A 26,212-nucleotide genomic window follows, 5' to 3' on the forward strand; every position below is an offset into this window, starting at 1 on the left:
TATAGTAGGTGTATACATTTATGGGGTATATGAAATATTTTGATACATGCATGTATCATGCATGCATGATACATGCATGCAATGTATAATAATCACATCAGGGTAAATGGGGAATCCACCATCTCAAGCATTTTTCCTTTCTTTGTGTTACAAACAATCCAATTATAATCATTTATTTTTTTGCCCTGTCTTATGGTGCTGATCTTTCGGTTATTTTAAAACCTGCAATTAAATTATTATTGACTATAGTCACCAAATACTAGGTCTTATTCACTTTTTCTATTTTTTTCCACCCATTAACCATCCCCACCTCCCTCGACACTCTTTCACTACTCTTCCCAGCCTCTGGTAACCATCATTCTACTATCTCCATGAGTTCAATTGTTTTACTTTTTAGCTCCTACAAATAAGTGAGAACATGCCAATTTTGTCCTTCTGTGCCTGGCTTATTTCGTTTAACAAAATGACCTCCAGCTCTATCCATGTTGTTGCAAATGGCAGGCTTTTATTCTTTTTTATGGCTGAATTGTACTCCCATTGTATATATGTACCACGTTTTCTTTATGCAGTTGTCTGTTAATGGACACTTAGGTGCTTCCAAATTTGGCTCTTGTGAATAGTGCTGCAATAAACATGGGTGTGCAGATATCTCTTTGATATACTGATTTCCTTTCTTTGGGGTATATACCTAGCAGTGGGATTACTGGATCATATGGTAGCTCTATTTTTAGTTTTTTTAGTTTTTTGAGGCGCCTCCAAACTGTTCTCCATAGTGATTGTCCTAATTTACATTTGCACCAACAGTGTATGTGGGTTCCCTTTTCTCCACATCCTTGGCAGCTTGTGTTATTGCCTGTCTTTTGGATATAAGCCATTTTAAATGGGGTGAGATGATATCTCATTGTAGTTTTGATTTGCATTTCTCTGATGACCAGTGATGTTGAGTACCTTTTCATATGCCTGTTTGCCATTTGTATGTCTTTTTTTTTTAAACTGTCGATTCACATCTTTTGCATGTTTTTTTAATAGGATTATTAGGTTTTTTTCCTGCAGAGTTGTTTGAGCTCCTTACATATTCTGGTTATTATTCCCTTGCCAGATGGGTAGTTTGCAAATACTTCCTCCCAGTCTGTGGCTTGTCTCTTCACTTTGCTGATTGTTTCCTTTGCTGTGCAGAAGTTTTTTAACTTGATGCAATCTCAATCGTCCATTTTTGCGTTGGTTGCCTGTGCTTGTGGGGTATTACTCAAGAAATCTTTGCCCAGTTCAATGTCCTAGATATTTTCTCAAGTGTTTTCTTTTAGTAATTTCATAGTTTGAGGACTCAGATTTAAGTCTTTAATCCATTTTGATTCAATTTTTGTATATGGTGAGAGATAGGGGTCTAGTTTCATCATTCTTCATATGGATATCCACTTTTTCCAGCACCATTTATTGAAGAGACTGTCCTTTTCTCAATATTTCTTCTTGGCACCTTTGTGAAAATGAGTTCACTGTAGATGTATAGATTTGTTTGTGGGTTTTCTCTTCTATTCCATTGGTCTATGTGTCTGGTTTTATGCTAGAGCCATGCTATTTTAGTTACTATAGCTCTGTCATATAATTAGAAGTCAAGGATTGTGATTCCTCCAGTTTTGTTCATTTTGCTCAGGATGGCTTTGGCTATTTTGGGTCTTTTGTGTTTCCATACATATTTTAGGATTGTTTTTTCTATTTCTGTGAGGAATGTCACATAGAGATTGCATTGAATCTGTAGATTGTTTTAGGTAATATGGACATTTTAACAATATTGATTCTTCCAATTCATGAGTATGGAATATCTTTCCATTTTTTTTGTATCTTCAATTTCTTGTATCAGTGTTTTACAGTCTTCATTGTAGAGATCTTTTACTTCTTCAGTAAAGTTAATTCCTAAGTATTTCATTTTATTTGTGGCTATTGTAAATGGGATTGCTTTCTTGGCTTCTTTTTCAGATTGTTCACTGTTGGCATATAGAAATGCTACTGATTTTTGTATGTTGACTTTATACCCTGCAACTTTACTGAATTCATTTATGAGATCTAATAGCTTTTCGGTGGAGTCTTTAGGTTTTTCTAAATGTAAGATCATATCATCTGCAAACAAAGATAATTTGACTTCTTCCTTTCTAATTTGGATACGTTTATTTCATTCTCTTGACTGATTACTCTAGCCAGGACTTCCAGTACTATGTTGAATAACAGTGGTGAAAGTGGGCATCCTTGTCATGTTCCAGATCTTGGAGGAAAGGTTTTCAGTTTTTCCCCATTCAGTATGATACTAGCTGTGGGTCTGTTGTAAATGGCTTTTATGTTGATTGATGTTCCTTCTATGCCTTTTAGGATTTTTATTATGAAGGGACGTTGAATTTTATCAAATGCTTTTTTAGCATCAATTGAAATGATTATGTGGTTTTTGTCCTTCATTCCATTGATATGATGTATCACATTGATTGATTTGTATATGTTGAGCCATGCTTGCATCCCAGTGATAAATCCCACTTGGTCATGATTGATCTTTTTAATGTATTGTTGAACTCAGTTTGCTAGTATTTTGTTAACGATTTTTGCATCAGTGTTCTTCAGGGATATTGGCCTGTAGATTTTTTGTTTGTTTTGTTTTGTTTTGTTTGATGTGACTTTGTCTGGTTTTGGTATTAGGGTATGCTGGCCTCCTGGAGTGACTTTGGAAGCATTCCCTTCTCCTCTCTTTTTTGGAATAGTTTGAGTAGAATTGGTATTAATTCTTCTTTAAATGTTTGATAAAATTCAGCAGTGAAGCCATGGTGTCCTGGGCTTTTCTTTGCTGGGAGACTTTTTATTACGGCTTTGATTTCATTACTTGTTATTGATCTGTTCAGGCTTTGGATTAGTGATTCAATCTTGACAGGTTGTATGTGTCTAGGAATTTATTTCTTCTAGATTTTCCAATTTATTGGCATACAGTTGCCCATAGTAGCTGCTAATGATCCTTTGAGTATCAGTTATAACATCTCTTTTTTCATCTCTGATTTTATTTACTTGAGCCTTCTTTCTTTTTTTCTTAGTCTGGCTAAAGGTTTGTCAATTTTGTTTATCTTTTCAAAAAACCAACTTTTTATTTTGTCGATCTTTTGTATTGTTTCCTTCATTTCAATTTCATTTATTTCTGCTGTGATCTTTATTCTTTTTTTTTCTACTAACTTTGGCTTTAGCTCCTGCTTTTTTAGTTCTCTAAGATGTATCATTAGGTTGTTTATTTGAATTTTTTCTACTTTTTTGCTGTAGGCACTTATAACTATAAATTTTCTTCCTAGTACTGCTTTTGCCATATCCCATTAGTTTTGGTACATTGTGTTTCCATTATAATTTGTTTCCAGAAATTTTTCAATTTCCCTCTTAATCTCTTCATTGGCACAATGGTCATTCAGGAGCATTGTTTAATTTCCAATTAAACAATTGGAAATTGTATAGTTTCCAAAATTCCTCTTCTTATTGATTTCTAGGGTTTCTTTTTTTTGTTTTTTGTTTGTTTGTTTTTTGTTTCTTGAGACAGTCTCACTCTGTCACCCAGACTGGAGTGCAGTGGCATGATCTCAGCTCACTGCAACCTCCACCTCTTGGGTTCAAGCAATTCTCATGCCTCAACCACCCAAGTAGCTGGGATTACAGGCGTGCACCACCACGCCCGGCTATTTTTTTTTTTTTTTTCCGTACAGACAGGATTTCACCATGTTAGCCAGGCTGGTCTCAAACTCCTGGCCTCAAGTGCTCTGCCTGCCTCAGCCAAAGTCCTGGGATTACAGGCATGAAAATAGACACACTTTTGTGTATCTATTGTATGTTTTTAGATTTGAAGTTATCATATCTTGCAAATAATCTTGTAAACCATTATTTTAAACTGACAACTTAACACTGATTGCATAAACAAACAAAAATAAAACTAATAAAAACTCTACGCTTTAACATAATCTTCCCACTTTTTAACTTTTTCTTGTTTATATCTTATTGTACTGTCTATATCTTGAAAAGTTGTTGTAGTTATTATTTTCAATTGGTTAATCTTTTCATCTTTCTACTTAAGATATGAGTAGTTTACATAACACAACTACAGTACTATAATAATCTTGCTAAGTTTTGAAGAATTGACATCATGACAATGTTGAATTTTCCAAACTATGAATGTGGAACCTCTATATATTTAGGTATTTTAAATTTATCTTAGCAATATTTTGTAGTTCCAGACTACAGGTCTTTTGTACATCTTTAGTCAAATGTTTTTGTAGGTATTTAATAGTTTTACTGTTATTGTAAGTTATATTTTTAAAATTTCATTTTTCAGTAGTTTGTTGCCCATGTGTAGAAATAAATTTTTGTATATTAAATTTGTATCCAACAATATTTTTAAGCTCAATATTGAATCTAGAAGTTTATTTATAGAGATTTCTCAAATTTTCTATGTTAGACAATCATGCCATCTACAAATAAATAGAGTTTTACTTCTTCCATTCCAATTTTTACAAATTTTATTTATTTTTCTTGCCTTATTGACCTCTCTATGATGTCAAATAGAAGTGTAATAGTGGACATAGTTGTCTTGTTTCCAGCCTCAGAAAGTGTTAACTATTTCACTGTTTAATATAATGTTAACTGCAGGTGTTTTTGTAAATGTCATTTTTAGGTGAAGGAAGTCTCCTTATATTGATAGTTCACTGAAAGTTGTTATTATGAATGGGTGTCAGTTTTTATCAATTTTCTTCTGCATCTCTTGAGATTGTATATGTTTTTCTGTTTTATTCTGTTAATGCAACAAGTTACATTGATTTTCAAAGTTGCATTCTTGGAATAAGTCCCACTTGGTCTTAATGAATTATTCTTGTAATTTATCACTGAGCTATATTACCTAATATTTTGTTTACGACTTTTGTGTCTATGTTCACGAGTGACATTGGCTTATAATTTTTCTTTCTTGTAAGTCTTTATCTGGTTTGGGGCTCAGTTTATGCTGGCTCATGAGATGATCCAGATTAATGTTAAATCGTGACTCTGTGCACATTAACTATTCTCAGCTGTGATTTCTGCAAATCAGTAGTTCATTATGAAAATAACAAATAAAATGTTCGATTCGACTGGGATAAGTGTAGAAATCTGTGGGTCTCTATTTGATTCCAGATTAATAGAGTTTTATTTGTCTTTGGTGTTCTGACAGCCATGAAACCACCAACCCGTTGCTTCTCCTCTTTCCCCATAAGAATGTCCTTGGAAATCACAAAATGTTTTGTTTCCCACATCTATAGATCTGTCCCTATGTGGGGGAAAGAAAAGAATGAGTAAACATTACTTCTCAGTGAACTTGTTCCTAAGGATCACTTTTTTAAAAAATCTTTTTTAAATGGGAGTAAGCTGTTATCTGCACAAAGCCCTTGGGGTGAAGTCCAGTCAACAGGGCTTCCCTTAGGAGATGTTCTCTAAACTGTGTTCATGAAAGTGAATAAGAGTTAGCAGGCAAAGGAGAAAGGGGGTTGGAGAGGGATCTAGAGTTTCAGAGAAAGAGAAAAACAGCTCACGAGAAGGACCACACCCTAGAGAGATGACATGGTCAAGGGTCTAACGGAATAATGCGACATCATCTCAACACTATGTGCCAAGGACTGTCCTGAAAGCTGTGTCATAAATAAAGTTTTGGTGCCGCAAAAGAAATAGCACTCAAATATAAAATTTTCTTTTTAATTCTCAGCAAGGCAAGTTACTTCTATAGAAGGGTGCGCCCTTACAGATGGAGCAATGGTGAGCGCACACTTGGACAAGGGAGGGGAAGGGGTTCTTATCCCTGACGCACGTGGCCCCTGCTGTTCTGTCGTTCCCCTATTGGCTGGGGTTAGACCACACAGGCTAAACTAATTCCGATTGGCTAATTTATGTGATGGAGTGATGGCTAATTTAGTGATGGAGTGGGTGGTTTCGTGGGAAAAATGGCTATGACAGAGCATGTAATAGGAATGAGTCAGGGTGGAGCAGGTGATTGGAATGAGTCAGGGTGGAGCAGGTAATCGAAAAAGGTTGCTTTATGAGGAAGTTAAGTTTAAAAGTAGAAGGCAAAAAATTGAACATACTGACATATTGATTCTTTGAAAAGAAATTTAGAACTCATATCTAACAGCTATAAATGTATTAACTGCATTCATCATTCCGACTGCTCAGTCCAAAACCCTTGGAGTCATCCTTGACTCCTGTCTTTCTCTCTCCCACCTCATATCCAATCCATCAGGAAATCCTGTTGGCTCTACCTTCAAAGCATGCCAGGCTGATCATTTCTCCCGGTATCTGTGTCCAGCTCCCTGGCCTGAGCCTCCACCCCCGCTCTCTCCTGGCCACTGTGCTTCCTCCTGACGGCGCTCCCTGCCTCCACTCTGGCTCCTCACAGTTGATTCTCAACACCAAACAGCGAGATTCTTTAAAACAGAAGTCAGCTCAAGATATGTCTCTGTTCAAAACTCTGCTATGACTACCTGTGTCTTGTGGAGTACAAATCCTACCAAGATTCTGGAGGCCCTCCACACACAGGCCCCCATGCCCTCTCTGGCCTGCCTCCATCCCTCCCCTCCAGCCGCGCCACATCCTTAAGGGTCCTCACGCACATGATGCCTTTGCTGTAATGGTTCCCATGCCCACCAAACCCCCAGCTCCTTCAAGGCTTTGCACTAATCTCACCTATGCAGGAGCCCAGTGCCAACTGACCAATTTAATAACACACCTCGCCCCATCCCACTGTACCGTCCAGTGTATTTCTCATGCTTATTGTCCACCTTCTCCCACTAGAATGCAAGCTCTGTGAGGACACGGAGCTTCATTTTGTTCACAGAGGTATCCTCAGCACCTAAATCATGGCCTAGCACATACCAGGCACTGAATAAATATTTGTGAAGTGAGTGAAGCCTCACAACTATCCTAAGAGGTCGGTAGCGTTATTATCCCCATTTTACAGATTGAGAAACTGTAGAGAGGTCAAACCAGAGAGGTCAGCTCTCAAAGTCACATGGAGCCAATATTTGAACCCAGGCATCTGACTCTAGAGGCAATGTTCTTAACCACTGCATTATCCTGGCAAGCCCAAAGTAGCAAATGCAACCCGAGCTTCCAGAAGGCCCTGTGACTTCAGACTATATAAGGGATTGGGAAGTTAAGGCACTCCTTCAGGCTTTGTGTTCAGAAAGGGGTGGGGAACTGGCCAGCACATACCAGGCCTCATAAAACAAGTTAGGGAGTTTGCACCAGGATAGGGCTAGATTTGTCTTTAGAAAGATCCCACTGACTACAGGGTGGAGTACGGATGGGTGTGACAAGGCTGCGGGCAGGGAAATCAGTTAGGGGCTGAGATAATGGTGACCTCAGCCAGGGTGGCAGCTGTGGGGATGGAAAGAGTTGGCCAAAGAGAGATTTAATAATTGTGACTGACAGGATTGTAGTTGAGAGAGAGAGAACAACTCCTAGGTTTGGGGTTTGGGTTAGTTTTGGTTTTTCAAGCTTTTTTGACTATGATCTACAGTAAGAAACACATTCACATTTTGATACAGAATACACACACACACATACACACATACACACGCATACATGTACATACACACATACACACACATGCATACACACACACACATATCTTGAACAAGTTCAATAACCACAGAATACTTTCCCTGACGTTAAATGCTCCTCTGTGTTTCCTAATCTTGTCTATCTCTTGTCTCTTTCTCTCCTTTTTTTAAATGCTGGTTGCCACTCATGACATTGATTTCATGACTGATCATGGCTTGCAGTCTGGAAGCCCTTGACCAGAGAGTGATTGGAGGCTTGGGACACAGCTAGGCTGACAGACAGGAGCCTCGAAAGCTGTGTCCCTGGACCTCCTTTCTGCAGAGTCCCCTTCCTGCATGACATACACAGTCTGGCTCCCATCACACTTACCAGTCTCGTTACTCATTGAATTAGTCCATTTTCACACTGCTGATAAAGACATACCTGAGACTGGCAATTTACAAAAGAAAGGGGTAATGGACTCACAGTTCCACGTGGCTGGGGAGGCCTACCAAACATGGCAGAAGGTGAAAGGCACGCCTCACATGGCAGCAGACAAGAGAAGAGGACCTGTGCAGGGAAACTCCCCTTTATAAAACCATCAGATCTTGTAAGACTTATTCACTACCACGAGAACAACATAGGAAAGACGTGACCCCACGATTCAATTTCCTCCCACCAGGTCCCTCCCACCACACGTGGGAATTGTGGGAGCTACAATTCAAGATGAGATGTGGGTGGGGACACAACCAAACCATATCACTCATTCCTTTGGGGAAAATCCTTTGTCTCTTTCAAGGCATCTCTCAGTAAGTCTCATCAATGAATATATGTGGACAAGCAGGAGGTGTGGAGGGGTCATGGAAGCTATTGTTTAATAGGCACAGAGTTTCACTTTTGTAAGATGCGAAAAGTTCTGTGGAGGAATGCTGGTGATAGTAGCACAACCATGTGAGTGTACTTAATACCACCAAACTGTACTCTTAAAAATTATTAAGATGGGGCACCTGTAGTCCCAGCTACTTGGGAGGCTGAGACAGGAGAATGGAGTGAACCCAGGAGGCGGAGCTTGCAGTGATCCAAGATCGCACCATTGCACTCCAGCCTGGGCAACAGAGCGAGACTCCATCTCAAAAAAAAAAAAAAAAAAAAGGTTAAGATGGTGGATTTTATGTTACATGTATTTTGCCACAATTTTTTAAATCAATGTGTAGGCAAACTAATAGAAAAAAGAGTGTCTGGAGTGGCTTTCCAGACATGAAGTCTCAGGGTTGAAAGAGTCCTTGGAAGGCTTTTAGACCAAACCCCTCTGCATGCTCAAGCCTTGGGTACAGGATTTCTAAGAAGTGGAACAGTCTCCAGGGGTGTGGAGCTCATCGCTCAAGGCAGGTTATCTTATCTGAATAATTTTGTCTGTTGACTATTGGGATAGTTCTCCTTCAGATGAGCTGAAATTTTCTCCATAGCTTCCTCTATTAAACCCAATTCCACTTCTCAGGGTCACAAAAAAAAAAACAAAACCTAAATTCCCTCTCCCATGCAGTATGTATTCAATAAATATTTATTAGGCATATGCCTAAGTACCACTGTCTGATCTTCCAAATCTTCTCTTTTCCAGTTAAAAATTCCAAATCTGACAACTATTTCTTAAATGACATGATTCAATGTCCCCTTACCATCTGACTGCTCTTTTGAAATCATCAATTTCCTCTTATTGTGGGACATCTATAAACAAAAAGAGGCCAGGCACAGTGGCTCATGCCTGTAATCCCAGCACTTTGGGAGACCAAGGTGGGAGGATCTCTTGAGGCTAGGAGTTCAAGACCAGCCTGGTCAACATAGTGAGACACCATCTCTACAAAAAAACTTCAAAATTAGCTGACATGGTGGCATGTACCTCTAGTCCCAGCTACTCAGGAGACTGAGAGGGTAGGATCGCTTGAGTCCAGAAGTTTGGGGTTCCAGTGAGCCACGATCACACCAATGCACTACCGCCTGGGTGACAGAGCAAGACCCTGTTTCAAAAAAAATAAATAAAATGTTTTCAGAAATAAAAACATTACAATAATCAATAGCCCCAAATGATTTCATCAAAAAATGGGAGATTCTAATGGAATTTCCAGGCCCAAGTGAGCACAGTGTCATGGCATGCTGGTGAGAAAGATATGTGAAGGCCATGCTGACATATTGCAAGGAGGACTACATTTGTCTTTCAGGTGCAAGACAAAAAATAGTGTAAATTCACCCTTAAGTCTTAAGGATAGGTACGAGATCCAATCAGCCTTCACTCTTATCTCTAATTTATTCTGTCTCATCAGAACCAGAAAACATCACCGCACTTTCCTTGGAGGTAAGTGCTTTATTCCATGTAGTGTGCCACAGGACTGCATCTTGCCACTACATAAATACACATAATATATGATTTCCTCCTTCAACTCTGGAACCTAAACAAATGGATTATGTTCCCCAAATTCCATAAAGCCATAATTCTGTTGAGTGGCCATGGCGCTCCCAAAGAATTTCTTTCTAAATATAGAGAGGTATTCCTCTGCAGAAAAAAATATCCCAGCATCTTGGTTCTAATATATAATTAACTCCTCTCTAGATACTTTGCAGTTACGTTTTATGGCTTATTTTGAGTGTTCATATTTTATCAGAAAATTATAATTTTCCTCTAAATAGGAGTTTTTACAAGGCTTTTGAATTCTGATGACTGGCTTCATGTTTCAGCTATAATTAAAACAGTGAAATGAAATAGCATCACCATGCATCACATGTGGTTCTGAGACTGCTTGGTCCCCCAACCGCCTGTCTCCCCACACCCCGCAACCTGCAGGCTGGGGACACTCTGACCAATGGTGGGGGCTCCAGTTTTGACCACTTAGTGGGACAGCTGGTTTTAGAAAGAAACAGAATGGCCTGAGAAGAAGGGATGAGGAGACCAAAGTCCTCACCTCGGAGAAGCCTCCCAAATATGTCCCCCACCGATGTCCCACCTTGCCCCATTTTCCTTCCAGGAAAATATACTTTCTCCAAGAAATACACTTTCCCTCCAGGAAAATTCACTTTCCATCTAGTTGTTAGCTTATGAGCTTACTCTCTGCTTCCCCTCTAGACTGCCAACTCCATGAGGGCCAATGCAAAGTCTTTTTTTTTTCTTTTGTTTTTTTTGAGATGAAGTTTCATTCTTGTCCCCCAGGCTGGAGTGCAGTTGTGTGATCTCGGCTCACTGCAACCTCCGTCTCCCAGGTTCAAGTGATTCTTCTGCCTCAACCTCTCAAGTAGCTGGGATTACAGGTGCCTGCCACCACGCCTGGCTAATTTTTGTATTTTAGTAGAGACGGAGTTTCACCATGTTGGCCAGGCTGGTCTCAAACTCCTGACCTCAGGTGATCCACCCGCCTCAGCCTCCCAAAGTGCTGAGATTACAGGCGTGAGCCACCATGCCTGGCCGCAAAGTCTTTTTCATTCAACATGGTATAGACAACTTCTTGAACCCCGTATTAGTTTGCTAGGCTACTATACCAACCAACCATAGGCTGGGGGTTTAAACAATAGAAATTGCTTTTCCCACAGTGCTGGAGATCAGAAGCCTGAAGTCAAGGTGTCAGCAGTGTTGGTTTCTCCGGAAGCCTCTCTCTTTGGCTTGTGCATGGCTGTCTTCTCCCTATATCCTCACATGGTCTTCCCTTTGTGTGTGTCTGTGTCCCAATCTCCTCTTCTAATAAGCACACCAGTCATGTTGGATTAGGGCCCACCCTAATGACCTTATTTTACCTTAATTACCTCTTTTTTTGAGACGGAGTCTTGCTCTGTTGCCTAGGCTGGAGTGCAGTGGCGCAATCTCAGCTCACTGCAACCTCCGCCTCCTGGGTTTGAGCAATTCTCCCTGCCTCAGCCTCCCAAGTAGCTGGGATTACAGGCACCCACTACCACACCTAGCTAATTTTTGTATTTTTAGTAGAGAGGGCATTTCGCCATGTTGACCAGGCTGGTCTCGAACTCCTGACCTCAGGTGATCCACCCACCTTGGCCTCCCAGCGTGCTGGGATTATAGGCGTGAGCCACCACTCTCAGCCTTAATTACCTCTTCAAAGACCTTATCTCCAAATACAGCCATCCCTCAGTAGCTCGTGGGATAGGTTCCGGGACCCACCCTTGCTCAGGACACCAAAATTTGTGGATGCTTAAGTTTCTGACATAAAATGGCATAGTATTTGCATATAACCTATGTACATCCTTCTGTATGCTTTAAATCAGCTCTGGATTACTTATAATACCTCATACAATGCCTACACATCACTTTATGTACATGGATTCAATGTAGTTCTCTGGACAGAGCAAATTCAAGTTTTGCTTTTTGGAACTTGGTGGAATTTTTTCTGAATATTTTTGATTCAGAATTGGTTGAATCCACAGATGCAGAACGCCCAGATATAGAAGGCTGACTGCACAGTCACATTCCGAGGTTCTTGGGGTCAGGATTTAAACATATGAAGTTTGGGGTGGGGGGCCGAATTCATCCCATAACACAGTATTAGGCTATCAACCACTGTTTGCTGACTGAGAAAAAAATGAATGACCAATAGAACACAGAAACATTATGGCAGGCATGCTCCCGGAAGCAGTTCTCCTAGCACACGCTTCTGAAGGCCTTTCCTTTTTCCCCCTTCCCTCTCCCTCCACCCATACAAGGGTCCAGACGAGTGAGTCTTCTGTCAACTTCGGGTCCAACCTAACCAATCCAGTCACACAAAACCCTGTGCCATGAACTTCAGACATGATACTAATTCCCAGGAAAGACTAGGCCATCTCCAGGAAGCCTTCCTTGTTTGTCTTCAGGGAACCCCTGCTCAGTAGGGGGACTGCAGAACACACAGAAGCCATTGAGTTGTCTCTATGATGATGACCACATCGCAGCAGGGTACAGCTGAGCCACCAGAGCTTGCCCATCTGCTCCCTCTGGGCCCCGCCATGATTCTTTCTATCACTGCCTGTAAGCCTTTATAGTCTTCCTCTCTCTCCTTGCAAGAGAAACCTCCTAACTTGTTGGCCACTGATGGACTTTAACCAGGGTGTTTGTCATGGACCTGTATTGCCACCAAGGTGGCTTTGGCTCCCTGAGTCCTGACCCTCTGCTTGTTACTTCCCAACAGGCGTCGGGTTTGGAGTTCAAGTCGGTAGCCGACAGCGTTCTGTTTTTACGTGACAAAAGATGGGAAGAGGTCAGAGGTGCCCTGATGTCTGCTTTCAGTCCTGAAAAGCTGAACGAGGTAAGACATGAGAAATGCAAACTCTCTTCTCTTACGGAGCAGGTTTCTTCTCTCCAAATCGTGATGAGAGCCAGTTCATGTTGCATCACTTGCCCAGGTGACACATCAAAATGCCTTTCCCACTGGGACCTTCAGACCTCTCTGTTATGCAGAAAGCACGGGACTCTGTGTTGAGCGTCTTTCGTCTCTCCAGCCTCCCATATCCCCACTTGCCATAAATGAACTGTGAGTCAACAAGTACACAGGGCATTCGCCTGTGTCCAGAGACAGAGCTTGAGGTGCTTTGGGGGCCCCAGGAGACAACTGCAACAGTGTCTGTTGGACTGTCATGCATAATGGATCACCTAGGGATCTGGCTACAAAGCAGGCTCTGATTCAAGAGGGCCAGGGTGGCCTAAGAATCTGCATTTATAACACCCGGCCAGGTAATTTCGTTGTTACTGGACAATGAACCACACTTTACATAGCAAGAAACTAGAGAACAGCATGAAACAAAGGTGACCTACCAATCAAGTCTTAAATAGGGAGGTGATTGCAGTGAATGACTGGGGAGGAGTGGGCGATCATGTCAGGCAGGGACACCCAGGTTAACCTCTAGGCCAAGTTCAAGGGAAGGGCAGGCTCCACAGGATGCTACCAGCTCTCTAAGGCCCTGGACACTCTCCTTTCCCTACTGAGTGACTCACTCTTTCCTATCAGCTGTGCACCCAAAACCGGGTGTTTGTACAGCCTCCAGACCAATTTCTCACACAACAGATCCTGACTGCTGTGTTTTGTATCTAAGCCTGACAGCCCCCTCAATTGCTGGTCTGGCTTTGGTGTTTGCTGTTCTGAATTGTGCAACCACAAGGGAGAGAGAACTTGAGCCCTTATGATGTGAAGGGGCTAAGGGGCTTCTTTAGTTCCAGTCTCAGGTACACAGGCATCTCTAGAGCAAGGGAGCTTCCAAAGCTTGGCTTGAGTGCCCTGGGCTTCTGCCATCCACCCTGTCTGGATGTTCCAGAGTAGCCTGTCTTCAGTTCAATAAAAATGAAAGCTACTTTTAGCTTAAGCTCAAGATGCTCATCCATATGGTCCTGATTGAATTCCTATAAATCTTCTGAAGTCCCCCAGAAGAGGAGGGGGTTCCACACCTCATTATATCCAATTAAACTCACTCAGAAGCTAGTGATCCCCCCATTTTTATGAGGTTTTGATTTGCATTTCCATGGGTAGCTGTTGGTGTTTGGGGGCAGAGCCTGTCTCTGTATGCAGCACCTGCTCACACTCACACAGCTCAGAGTCAGGTACCAAGGGTTGCCTGTTTAGACTAACACACTGCCTCTTCACCACATTCCTGCGAGATAAATACCATCATCCTTATTATTACCATCCCATTTTACAGAGGAGGAAACTAGGCACGGAGAGATTAAGTAGCGTGCTCCAAGTCTCATAGCTAGTAAGCAGCAGAGCCAAAATCAGAATCCAGCTCCGGAGCGCTCTTCACCTCTCTGCCTGACTGCTTGCTACCTCCATGTGATTTTCCAGTGGTGCTCGGAGGCCACGTAGGACTGTGCCAGGGGCTGTCTGGAGGATGCAGGAAGGGGAAGTGTAGCAAATGGGGCCTCGGTGGAAAGCTGGGGGGTGGGGGAGGGTCAGAAGCAAAACTTCTCTATTTTCTGCCTAAGTTTGGAACCAACTGAGGTATGGAAAGAGGTTTTAGGCAAAGGAAATAAAATTTTCTCTTATCTTACTGGTAAAGCTGTTTGAAAAATAGAGTCCCCATCTGATCACATGGGCTTGCTATGCTAATACTTCACCCAGAATGGGACAATTGCAGGGGGGTGGCAGATGCCATCGGGGCTGGCCCGCGGCCCACATGTGCTCAATTCCTTCCTCCAAGACTGGGTCTGATACAGTGTAGACAGCAGGAGATGGAGAGTGACTTAGATGCAGCGGTTGGCCAGTGGGGCCCACCGGGATCACTTGGGGGGCTTTGAAAACTGTTGCTGCCTGGGTCCCACACCTAGAAATTCTCATTCGCTTGGTTTGCTTTGGGATGCAGCCTGGGTTTGAGGATATTTTTTTCAGGCTCCCCAGGTGATTGTCACGTAAAGCCAGTATTGGGAACCACCACCAGTAGAAGTTCCCCACAAGGACATGAGAGGAAAGGGGCACCTGCTTCCACTGCAACAATTAGCCCTGCTCACATTGATCTCTGTTATCTATTGAGGATTCACAGGAGAATGTGAAGGAAGGGCCTGCATCTTAAAGCTAGAAACCACTGCTCTAAACCATGTAGACTAGCTGCCTGGAGTGTGCCCCTTTATCACATCCAGCCACTAAAAGGTTGAGTCAGCCAAGAGAAGACCGGGGGAAGAGAGGAGAGGTAGGTGAGCCTAGGGCTGGCATCACTAGCGTATATGTCTGTATTCAAAAGCAATGGCTTCATGGCACTATAGAAGTAGAAAGAACCTCATGTGTGAAAAAGAAATTGGTAAAGAGTATCTGAGAAAAGAAGAAAAGAGAAAGAAGAAAAGGAAGCAAGGAAAGGAAAATAAGGTTTAGCAGTCCTGGGCTATGATTCTTTGATAAGGAATTTTATCATGGTCTAGATTCCTTTAACCCCTTACAGGGGATACTCCAGAAAGTGACACATTGTCGTTTCCCAAGCAAATCCAGTGCTCCTGGAGTCCAGTCTTCTCCCTCTAGTCCAGAAATCAAATGCATAGTGCCTGAATTAATTGCAGAAAATAGAGTTCCTCAATATGTCCACGGCATTAAGATGCCAAGAGAAGCCAGGCAAGGTGGCTCACGCCTGTAATCCCAGCACTTTGGGAGGCCGAAGCGGGTGGATCACCTGAGGTCAGGAGTTCAAGACCAGCTTGATCAACATGGTGAAACCCTGTCTCTACTAAGAATACAAAAAGTAGCCAGTGTGGTGGCAGGCACCTGTAACCCCAGCTACTCAGGACCCTGAGGCAGGAGAATCGCTTGAATCCAGGAGGCAGAGGTTGCAGTAAGCCAAGATCATACCACTGCACTCTAGCCTTGGTGACAGAGTAAGACTCCAGACTCCATCTCAAAAAAAAAAAAAAAAAAAAAAAAGCCAAGAGGTAGAGAGAGATTTCATAGAGCCCATTATTTACCATACACTATCAATAACCTTGAAATTCCCTTGAAAGGCATTTTTTTCTACTCCATATAGTTCAATTTAGGTTCTTGGGTTTGCGTTTGAAAGGATTCCATCCCAGAGGCAGGAGAAGTTAACTTTTTCCCCACCTCTGGGGATTTTAGACCTGGCGAGTTGAAGTTTACTGGAAGGCCCCTAAGGAGACCCTTCAAGAAGAAGTTGGCTGTGCAGATGGCACTCAGGTGGGAGGGGGAAGAAAGATGGTCTTCAAAACACAGAGACGTGTAGCATATGTGTTAGATATGGTTCTGGGGAGAACCATATTTAAGGGAGGAGCGGAGGAGAAACCTATAAAGAAGACTCAGGAAGAACAGCCTGAAATGGAAACCAGCAGAATGTGGAAGGGGAAAGCATTTCAAAGAGGAAGGAGCAGCCAGAGGTGTTAAATGCTGCTCACATGGAAAGAAACACGAGGACGAAAAAGTGCACAGCAAAGATAATATTTCTGAAACGTGAAACCAATGTATGTCTGTTTCATGCTCCATAGATCGTGTTCCCTGTAATTTTCCCGCACCCGCGGAATCAATGGCACCAGTGGGTGCTCCTGAAGGTGCCTCTGAGGAAGACAGTAGGTGCCATCCAGAACAAGGAAGTAGTTGCTTGATTTTGAACTGTACGTTAGCAAGCTTTATTAGGAGAGGAAAGAGTTTTCCTAATTCCAAAAGCAGCTCCCCTTTGCATATGAAGAGCAGAGGGTTTGAGGCTCTAAGCCATGGTGTAGACAGGATGCAGGAAATGACAGGGGGGCTGCTTCTGGGCTGTGGAAGATGGGTGGAGGGGACAAAATGAGAAGTGTCCTATATTCCTCCCCAAAACCTCCTGGTTTCTGGATGCTTCCTCAAACTTTAATCTCCCAGCTGCCTTTGTTCTCTAAGTCACTGGTTCTCAAACCTTGTGGGACCAAGGGCTGCATGAGAATCACCTAGGACCCTTGTTAAAAATACATAATTTCAGCCACCTCAAGATCTATATAGTCAGAATTTCTAAGGGTAACTGAGAATTCGCATGTCACGAGTTCCCTGGAAAGATTCTGCTGAGAGCCAGCGTGGAAAGCCCCGGCACAGTGAGTGTTCCTGTTGGTCCCCTCTCTGACCACCTCAGACCGACTACATCTCCAGGCTCGAAGGACCTGGCCCCTGAACCCCCACCCTCCACTGCTTTATTTTTCTCTGTGGAACTATCACCAGCTAACATTCCATTTTGTTTACCTGTTTATTGTATGTCCCCTTCTGCTAGATGGATGCTTCAGGAGGACAAAGTCTTTTTGCTTTTTTCTTATTTTCTTTATGGTTAACTGCACACACTAGGTACATAATAGACATTCAGGAACAATTAATGAATGGATGTATGAAGAATCAAAGAACCGAGAAGCTTTCTACCTATTCTGCCTAAGGATACATGATGAAACTAAGCTAAAAAAATGAAAGGGAAATAATTCTATCAAGAAAAAATTAAATAAGAGGATACAGCAAACTGGCTTTTCCTTTAGAGAGTCACCAATATATATACACATATACGTATACACATACAAAAAGTCACAGACACAAAGAGGGAAATGAGCCACAGTGTTAGGAGATAGCTCAGAGACTCTGAGCCACAGATACTCGGCTGTGGGTATCTGAGTCAGTTTTCCTGGAAATAGCTTTGAAATACCAGCATCTCTAGTCCTTTCTGAATTTGTAAGTAGTCTTTGGACTTTTGTTATCAAACATCAGAGTTTATTCTTGAAATAAAAGTTTGTTTCCCCTTGGAATTCTGAGGCTTTCTCCTTTAGAACCTTGGCAGCCTAAGTCCCTCTCTACCTGTGTCTTTAAGTATGGTCAATATTCAAAAGCTTTGGATGGCGTTGTCTTCGTTTATGCGGATATTAGGTTGCCTCAGTCAACAATGCTTGAAAATGGCTTTAAAATGAGCATCATATCATGAAGCCATATTTGTATTTAAATTAAAATTGTTTTTTTTTTTTGGCCTATGTCATACCAGGGATAATATAGAGCAACAGAGAACCAGGGAAAATGTGATTCATGCATCTCCAAGTCAGGAAAAAGAGACTATTGGAATCATAGCCAGCGACAAACAAGTTATTGGGATTTATAGAAAAGGATGGCTGAGCATTCCTGGAAAAACAACTGACTTTTTGTTGTTGTTGCTGTTGTTAGGGAAGATTTTGTCTGCTTAACTGGCCAGAGTTTTCACTCCATCCCCCGAAGAATTGACGTTTTAAAAAGCACAACTGTAGATTTAGATTTTCACAGTCTTTTGCTAGATTCTTTACCAAAGACTATTAGTGAGTAGTAACCCTGGGATTGTGTAAAACTTTATTAAGGATGAGGGAATAAATAGGTTTAATTTCAGGAAATAAAACTGGGGCTAAATTAGTACTTCTCTGACGGAAAATGTATAAATAATGTGATCCCCTGGGGACCCAGGTTAGCACTAGATTTATTTTTAAATTTTATAACTCATCTGAAAGAGAGAGAACACAGTGGAATCTATATATTTGTATATTCCTCTAAGCTGTTCTGATTTGAAAGATATTAAATCAATAGGAATAACTTTCTGAGACTCTTGTAAGATTGCATAAGTCAGCACAAAAGTGGCAGGTAACCTTCAGTGTAAGCAAGAATAAAAGAATACATTTAGGAGAAAGGCATCTAAACTGTACTTATATGATGATGAATTTCAAGCTATGAATTACTACCAGGGAAAAGGATTTGAAATATGGAGGACCGAAAAGGCCCCATAGTCAAATAATTTGGTGAAATATTACAAACTATATTCTTCAAGATTCACCATGTACCTGAGCATATGAAAGGCTTGAGAAAGGCCTGCAGTAAAGAAACCTGCTTAACTTTGTTTATTCTGGGCTCAAATAGGTTTTCAAAAGGAGAGAACGTGGGTTGTTAACTTCCTGGTTGGCTACTGAGAGAAATGAGTCTCTTGAGCAATTATCCTTTGCAGGTAGCTTCCATGAAGAACCCAGTTTTTGAGTGCCTCTAGCAGAGACTAAGCTTCAAACCTCATTAACCATGGATCCAATCCAATATGGCAGCTTGTATGTTCTCCATTCTCAAAGCCCAATATAAATGATGGGCTTTCTTCATTCACCCAGATAACTAAGAGCTGATGGTACCCCATTGAGCAGATATGGGAGACAATGAATCTTCATAGATGAGTGCCTAAGGATATATGTGTCACTCAAGAGTAAATGAACCAATCATGTTGCTATGCATAGGGACTCAGTTAAAGAAAAGTCAGATAAAATGGGAGGCTGGTATCTCGCACAGCACTGATCCGGCTCTCTGCCTAATTTTTCACTTTTCATCCAGATGTTCCCCGTCAAGAAGGCACAGTCAATAATGTATGAATCTTAAAGGCAGAGGCAGATGTGGTTATTACTCCCTGTAGGCATTTCCTGACTTGGAGACGACATGTTACTCGAGAATGACTACAATTTTTAAAAATTTAAGTTGATATAGCCCGCTTATGAGTAAATGCATTTCAGTGCAAAAGTCTTTTCAGAATTACAGTCATCATCACAGTTTAGTTTGGCCTTTAAATTTTCACTGTAAACTCTCCAGATGGTCACATATGGGGGCTTCTAAGGCAGAACACGCTTCCCAATAACATTAGAGCAAGCAGCCTTCTCTAGGAGGCATCCATTTCCAGCAGTCTATTTTTAATATTTGCTTTTATTTCTTAATCCTCCTGAACAATAAAAATGAACGTCATTATAACCAAGTGTGGCTGTAGTCATCAATACTTCAGAGTCCAAAAATACATTGGCCTTGCCTGACCAGTTGCCCATTTTCTGGAATAGCTGGGTATTTATCTAGCAGCGAGAGACCATTATCCTGAGACACAGTCGTGTTCCACCGACACCTGATCTACTAATTAAAATCACTATCATGATGGACTGTTTAAATTCTGGTTTAAATGTTCCTTTTGCATTTGCATTTAAAAGAAAACACACTCCTCATCATGGGCACCCCAGCCTGGGTTATAATTTGGCTTTCCTTTGCCAGAATTATAATGTCACTCTGACTTGCCGCTGGTTAAATCTAAAAGAGCATCTAAATGTGCCTCACAGCTTGGCTGTTGCTTGGCAACGCCAGCAGCCACCTCCTCATTGGGGTGACTTCTAATTGGTCACAAGTCTTGACAGGAGCCACTGACTTATTAGAAATGACACTTGATTATTCACCTAGATGGCTAGAGCTGATACTTAGCAGCAGGAAATTTTGCATAAAAAGGAGTCGTGGATGTTTTTAATATCTGGGTGGCTTTTAGCGATGGTGTAGTGGAAGAAGGAAGTGATAAGTTTCATTAGTGGAAATTAATTTTTCATTTGTTGGTCACCAGTTTAGAGCACTTTAAGGCATTAATTTTTTCATTTTAAAAAAAAACCCAGAAATACGTTTAAATACCTTCCCCCACCCCCAGCAGCTGACCCTTACTTATTCAGAAAACCCTCCTCTGACATCAGCCCCAAAATATTGCCCCCAGGTCCACCAAGGGCCAAATCAGATGAAATGTTCAATTTATAAAGGTCAACAAATATTTATTAATTAGTTCCTGTTGTTAAGGAGTTTATAATGTAGAAGAGAAACAAGGTACATAAATCACTGCATTATTACCAATCGTGGAAGGTGGTGACAGAGCTGGGGTCCTGCTTTGAGCATCAGAAGCCACTTTGGCAGGGAGGAAGCAGTGAGTAGCACCGGAATTGAGCTCTGAAGATTTTGCTGTTTTGACAGAGGGAGAAGGTGCATTGCAGGTGGAATGAGCTGCAGGAATCAAGGCATCTGGACAGAAAAGTACAGGGTATGTTCAGGGAATAGGGGAGTACAAATTGGCTGGAACACAGAGTACATGTAAGGGATTAGTGAGAAAGAAAGCTGAAAAAGTAGGTTGAGGCACGTACAGTTCACTGTTCTGTGCCGAGAGAGTGTTTGGTGCACACTTCACTAGAGCTCGAGGAGCTATTAAATACTTGAAAGTGAGGGAGTGACCTGCTCAGAACTCTGTGTTAGGAAAAAGGGTTTCATTTCAGCTGTTTAGCCCCCAAGCCAGCCATTTCCCAGACCCATGGGGCAAATCTTTCTGGTGCAGATGAGGGGAACTGTGAATTGTCTGGAGGAGTCTCCTCTTTGTAGTAGCCCCAAGTATGGGCAGGCTCCCAGGGGCCATGTTATGACATCAAGGCAGCGGTGTCCACTGTGGCTCTTTTGAGTCCCTCTTCGTGTGTGGATCAACAAGTCACCCAAGCTACACACCATCAACGTTTGGGGCTTATCTCTGTTTAGATGGATAGGGTTATGTAAAAAAGACCCTCTCCTTCCCTCTCTCTGTGTAGGAAATATGTTTTCCCTAGCACTCAGCATTGTCCAAACTTTCAGGAACTCCAAAGGCTTAAAGATGGTGGGTTTTTTCTTTCTCAAGTTTATGACATAAGATCTGCACAGAATGACCTAGAAGTGAATAAACTAAGGAGCAAAGGAAATGTGGAGGCTGAGTTTTGTGGGAAAGCAACAAGCCAGGAGTCAGGATATCTGGGGTTCCAATTCTCATTTGAACACAAAAATAACCAGATTCTGCCCTTTAGGTCCCTATGTATTCTGAAGTTGATGTGTCAAAGAAATGACAAAAGGCTTTCTTGGGAATGGGATGTGTTGCTGAAAGCACATGGACCAATGATCTGACACTTCCCTGCACTGAGCTAAGAATTTGGCTGCTCTCTCCATGGCTTCAAGCAACTGTCTCAACCTGATGCTTTGTGACCTCCTTGGAATCTTCAAATGTCAGTGGAAAGGGACATTATAGCTCATTGCGATCAGCCCTTCATTTAGGGATGAGGACCCACGTTCAGAGAGATTCAAATGCCAGGTCCAAAGTAACACATAGGACCAGCATGAGTCTCAGCTTTCTTCTTCAGAGCCAGTTTTCAGCAAACCACACTGTATTCATGCTAAGAGACAGTGCCTCAATCTGTTCATGTTTCTTGGGTACCTTCTATGTCAAGGCTCTCAAGGAACATTTGATCAATCAGTCATCACACAGGTATTTCTAGAAAATCAACAGAATGGGGTGTGCTATGCTCATTCTTGATATAACAAATACCAAAAACTTCATTAATCCATGACAACATGCAATAGTTACCACAAAAGAGCAATATTGAGAGTGTATTAGTTATCTATTGCTGTGTAACAAAATTACCCCAAAACTTAGTGGCTTAAAACAAACTTTTGTTAGCTCATTGTTTCTGTGGGTCAGGAATCCTGGCATGGCTTAGCTGAGTGCAAAGGCTGAGTCCAGAGGGACTGAGGGCTGAGGCCAGAGGGATCAAGGTGTCTTGGAGTAGTAGTCAAATGGCTGGCCTGATCTGTGGTCTCATCTGAAGGCTTGACTGGGGGAAGATCTGCTTCTAAGCCTCATCACACGGTTATTAGCAGGATTCAATTCGTAATGGACTTTGGAAGATAAGAATCTTGTACTGTGTCCTTCAGTCAGTGGGGATCTACAAATGTTTCAGCAAAGCATTACTGAAATAACAAGTATTTTTGGAAGATCTGGCCAGGCATGGTGGCTCATGCCTGTAATCCCAGAACTTCAAGAGGCCAAGGTGGGAGGATCGTTTGAACCCAGGAGTTCAAGACCAACTTGGGCAACATAGGGAGACCCCGTTTCTACAAAACATTAAAAAAATTAGCCAGCTGTGGTTGTGTGTGTCTGTAGTCCCAGATATTAATACTTGAGGGGCTGAAATGGGAGGATGGTTTGAGCCCAGGAGGGCAAGGATGCAGTGAGCTGTAATCATGCCACTGCACTCCAGCCTGGGTGACAGAATGAGATCCTGTCTCAAAAGAAAAGAAAAGAGGCCAGGAAGCTCTTTCAAAGAACTTTCTTTAGTACACCTGGGTGTCAGGCACTATCAAAGTCCTAAGACTACAAAGATGCTTAGGCTATAGTCTTTTTTCTCAAGAAGGAAGATGACAACCATATTCCAGGTGACAAGTAGCAACACCTGAACTAGGAGGTGACTGAGGAGATAAATATGAAAGAACAGATGAAAGAAAGGAAGCAATGTTAACATGATGAGGCAAGAACAGATGGCTCCAATGGGGAGTTGTCCCTGAGGAACAAGAAAAGAGAAGAGAATGATTCCAGTAGTCCAAACCAGCCTGGGAGGACGGATCCCTCCAGAGGACAACTACCATGTTTACACCACTCCCTGCTTTCTGTGCCAAGTGTTTTGCATATTTTGTTTCTAATCTTTGTCACGACTCTTCAAGGGAGGTATTATTTTCATTTTTGCAGATGAGGAACTAGACTCAGTGAGGTTAGGCAATGTACCCAAGATCACACAGCTATAAAGTGCCAGGGGAAGGAAACCTACTAATTTGCAGTGCCTTTGAGTATTTGCTATGCTTGGGGCAAGTATTCTCCAACAAGGTCGGAATCTTACACTCAAGGAAGGAAACTCAGTGATGAGATTCTGTGAGTCACCCAAAAGGAGAGGAGAAGAAGACCTTTGAGCAGAAGCTCTCAGCCCTTCTTGGTCGTTACTCTCTTTGCCCACTCATCAGGCCCTCCCTCCTTTTAGAATTCACTCTGTTGCCCTCTGTCTGCACCTTGACTCAAAATTTCACAGACACAGTTGGTAGAAAATCCATTAAAAAAAAAACTGGTGCCCATCAATGACAGACTGGATAAAGAAAATGTGGTACATATATGGCATGGAATACTATGCAGCCATAAAAAGGGACTAGATTATGTCCTTTGCAGGGACATGGATGGAGCTGGAGGCCATTATCCTCAGCTAACTAACACAGGAACAGAAAACCGAACACCACATGTTCTCACTTACAAGTGGGAGCTGAACAATGAGAACACATGCGCATAAGGAGGAGAACAACACACACTGAGGCCTGTTGGGGGAGGGGGGAGGAAGAGCATCAGGATAAATAGCTAATGCCTAATACCTAGGTGATGGGTTGATAGGTGCGGCAAACCACCATGGCATATATTTACCTATGTAACAAACCTGCATGTCCTGCACATGTATCCCAAAACTTAAAATAAAATAAAATTTTAAAAAACTGGGTACTTTAATTACATAAGAATCTCCAGGTTATGCAGAACCTTCCTTCCTTGGGGAATTTGCTTCCCAGGGTGGGGATGGTGATTTCCCCTGAATGGTTACCACTGGTTGCCAGACAGCTGCTCAGCCTCACACTCGGCATCACCTGTGTAGGGACAACCAATGTGAGAGGCGAGAGGAACAAAATGGGAAACTTTCTCCCCTAGCTTGGCTACTGCACTGCAACCCCGGTCTTAGCTTGGGCTGTCATAACCAAACACCATTGAGTGTGTGGCTTAAACAACAGACTTTTTTTTTTTTTTGAGATGGAGTCTTGCTCTGTCACCCAGGCTGGAGTGCAGTGGCGTGATCTTGGCTCACTGCAACCTCCACCTCCCAAGTTCAAGTGATTCTCTGGCCTCAGCCTCCCGAGTAGCTGGGATTGCTGGCACGGGCCACCACACCTGGCTAATTTTTGTATTTTTAGTAGAGAGGGGGTTTCACCATGTTGACCAGGCTAGTCTTGAACTCCTGACATCAAGTGATCCACCTGCCTTGGCCTCCCAAAGTGCTGAGATTACAGGAGTGAGCCACTGTGCCAGGCCCAGACATGTATTTTCTCACAGTTTTGGAGGCTGGGTGCCAGCGTTGTTGGTTTCCAGGGAGGCCTCTCTTTCTGGTTTGTGGGTAGCCGCCATCTTGCTCTGTGCCCACAAGACCTGTTCTTTGTGCATGAGAGAGAGAGAGAGGGAGAGAGAATAAGCATGAGTGCTCTGGTGTCTCTTCTTATAAGGACACCAATCCTATTGGATCAGGGCCCCATCCTTGTGACTTTAACCTTAATTACTTCCTTAGAAGCCCTATCTCCAAATACAGCTACACTGGGAGTTGGGGCTTCAATGTATGAATTTTGAGGCAACCCAAACATTCAGTCTATAAGAACTCCCAATAAATCACTTTTTTTAAACCTAATAACATTAATATTTTATCTGATTATAAGTGTAATACATGTGCATTGTGAAAAATTTGGAATAAAACAAAAAATAAAAATTACTCATTATCCCATGAAGAAGATGAAATGTAACAACCGAATGCATCTTTTAGTAAGATCTGAGTGAGAATAGCATTGTGTATTCATCTGTGCATGTGTGTGTGTGTGCACATGCCACGTTTGCCTGCTTGTTCAAAAATCTAGGAGAAGAACTGCGGGGTTTGTGGATTGTATAAAGATTATGCAAGCCCATCAAAGACAGCTTTTGTTTGTATGCAACTCATGTAAAAGTAAATATTCCGTAACTGCTGTGTAAAATGCAAGGAAGAAAACCTGAAATGATGGCTATTGGCCAACATACAGATTATGCTCGGCTGTCTTATAATATTTTCTCTGCATTGCTTTTTAAAACATTTTTCATATTACATGCCCCATCTCATATCACATTAACCCAAATAAAAATGTCATTATCCATTCAGTTCGACAGACAGCAAGCAGAGTATCGCAGAAAATTACAATCACGTCAGGCAGCAACAAAGGATTCTAGTCAAAAGCACGTAGAAGACCCGATGGTGGGCAGCTGGCCTGGGCTTTCTTTCACACTGTCCAGGAATATGTTTGGATTCAGAATGGGTGGCCCCCTCTTTATACACAGGGCATGCCTCTGAAGAGTTGTGTGTAAATCACATTTTATGTTCCATCTCTTTTGTTATGTTAAGAAAGCTTCAAGCTAGATATCTAAAAAGACTTCCTTTCAAACAGTACATATATATATGTAGATAGATAGACAGATTTTCTTTTACCATGTTACTATTCCTCTGAAGTAAATTTAAAAGGTATTTAGGTTTATGGGATTTTATTAAACTAGGATTCAGTTGTACCACTAAACTTATTAAGATAATCGAAGGAAGATAGCCAGTAAAGCTAGTTATAAAAATGTGGCTTAGACTGTACTGACTTTTCCAATGTTAAGGGTAGACTGAGACTTCTTGGAAGTTGGGGCCTAGAGACCATTTTAAGTGACCCATTGGCACACCCTTTTGTACTGATGGATTATTAAATCGATGGTTTGTGAGAATTTAGAAAAGCATACAGTAGTCATGAAGCATCAACACAGAGATACTAAGAAT

The 26,212-nt window shown here is 41.9% G+C and overlaps 1 protein-coding gene and 1 long non-coding RNA gene across 9 annotated transcripts in view, besides 1 other annotated feature; both read left to right on the forward strand.

Moving 5' to 3' along the window:
• The window catches only part of TBXAS1 (thromboxane A synthase 1), a 242,052-nt gene that overhangs the window by 145,227 nt on the left and 70,613 nt on the right, over positions 1 to 26,212 (forward strand). For all 8 annotated transcript variants that reach the window (NM_001130966.5, NM_001166254.4, NM_001314028.4 and 5 more), the window contains one exon: positions 12,723 to 12,839. In NM_001130966.5, the coding sequence (NP_001124438.2) occupies positions 12,723 to 12,839 (117 nt within the window). The remainder of the gene's footprint in view (positions 1 to 12,722; positions 12,840 to 26,212) is intronic.
• Positions 12,845 to 23,679, forward strand: LOC105375532 (uncharacterized). Its single transcript, XR_928043.3, has 2 exons — positions 12,845 to 20,835; positions 21,617 to 23,679. It is a non-coding gene; the product is annotated as an uncharacterized LOC105375532 (long non-coding RNA).
• Positions 14,688 to 15,188: an enhancer, noted in NCBI's record as "H3K4me1 hESC enhancer chr7:139637955-139638455 (GRCh37/hg19 assembly coordinates)". NCBI's record gives its function as "activates a minimal SCP1, AML or CMV promoter by ChIP-STARR-seq in naive H9 embryonic stem cells {active_cell/tissue: H9 hESC(naive)}" and the evidence as "EXISTENCE:reporter gene assay evidence [ECO:0000049][PMID:30033119]".

This window comes from Homo sapiens, chromosome 7 (assembly GCF_000001405.40).
Source record: "Homo sapiens chromosome 7, GRCh38.p14 Primary Assembly".
Taxonomy (NCBI): Eukaryota; Metazoa; Chordata; class Mammalia; order Primates; family Hominidae; genus Homo; species Homo sapiens.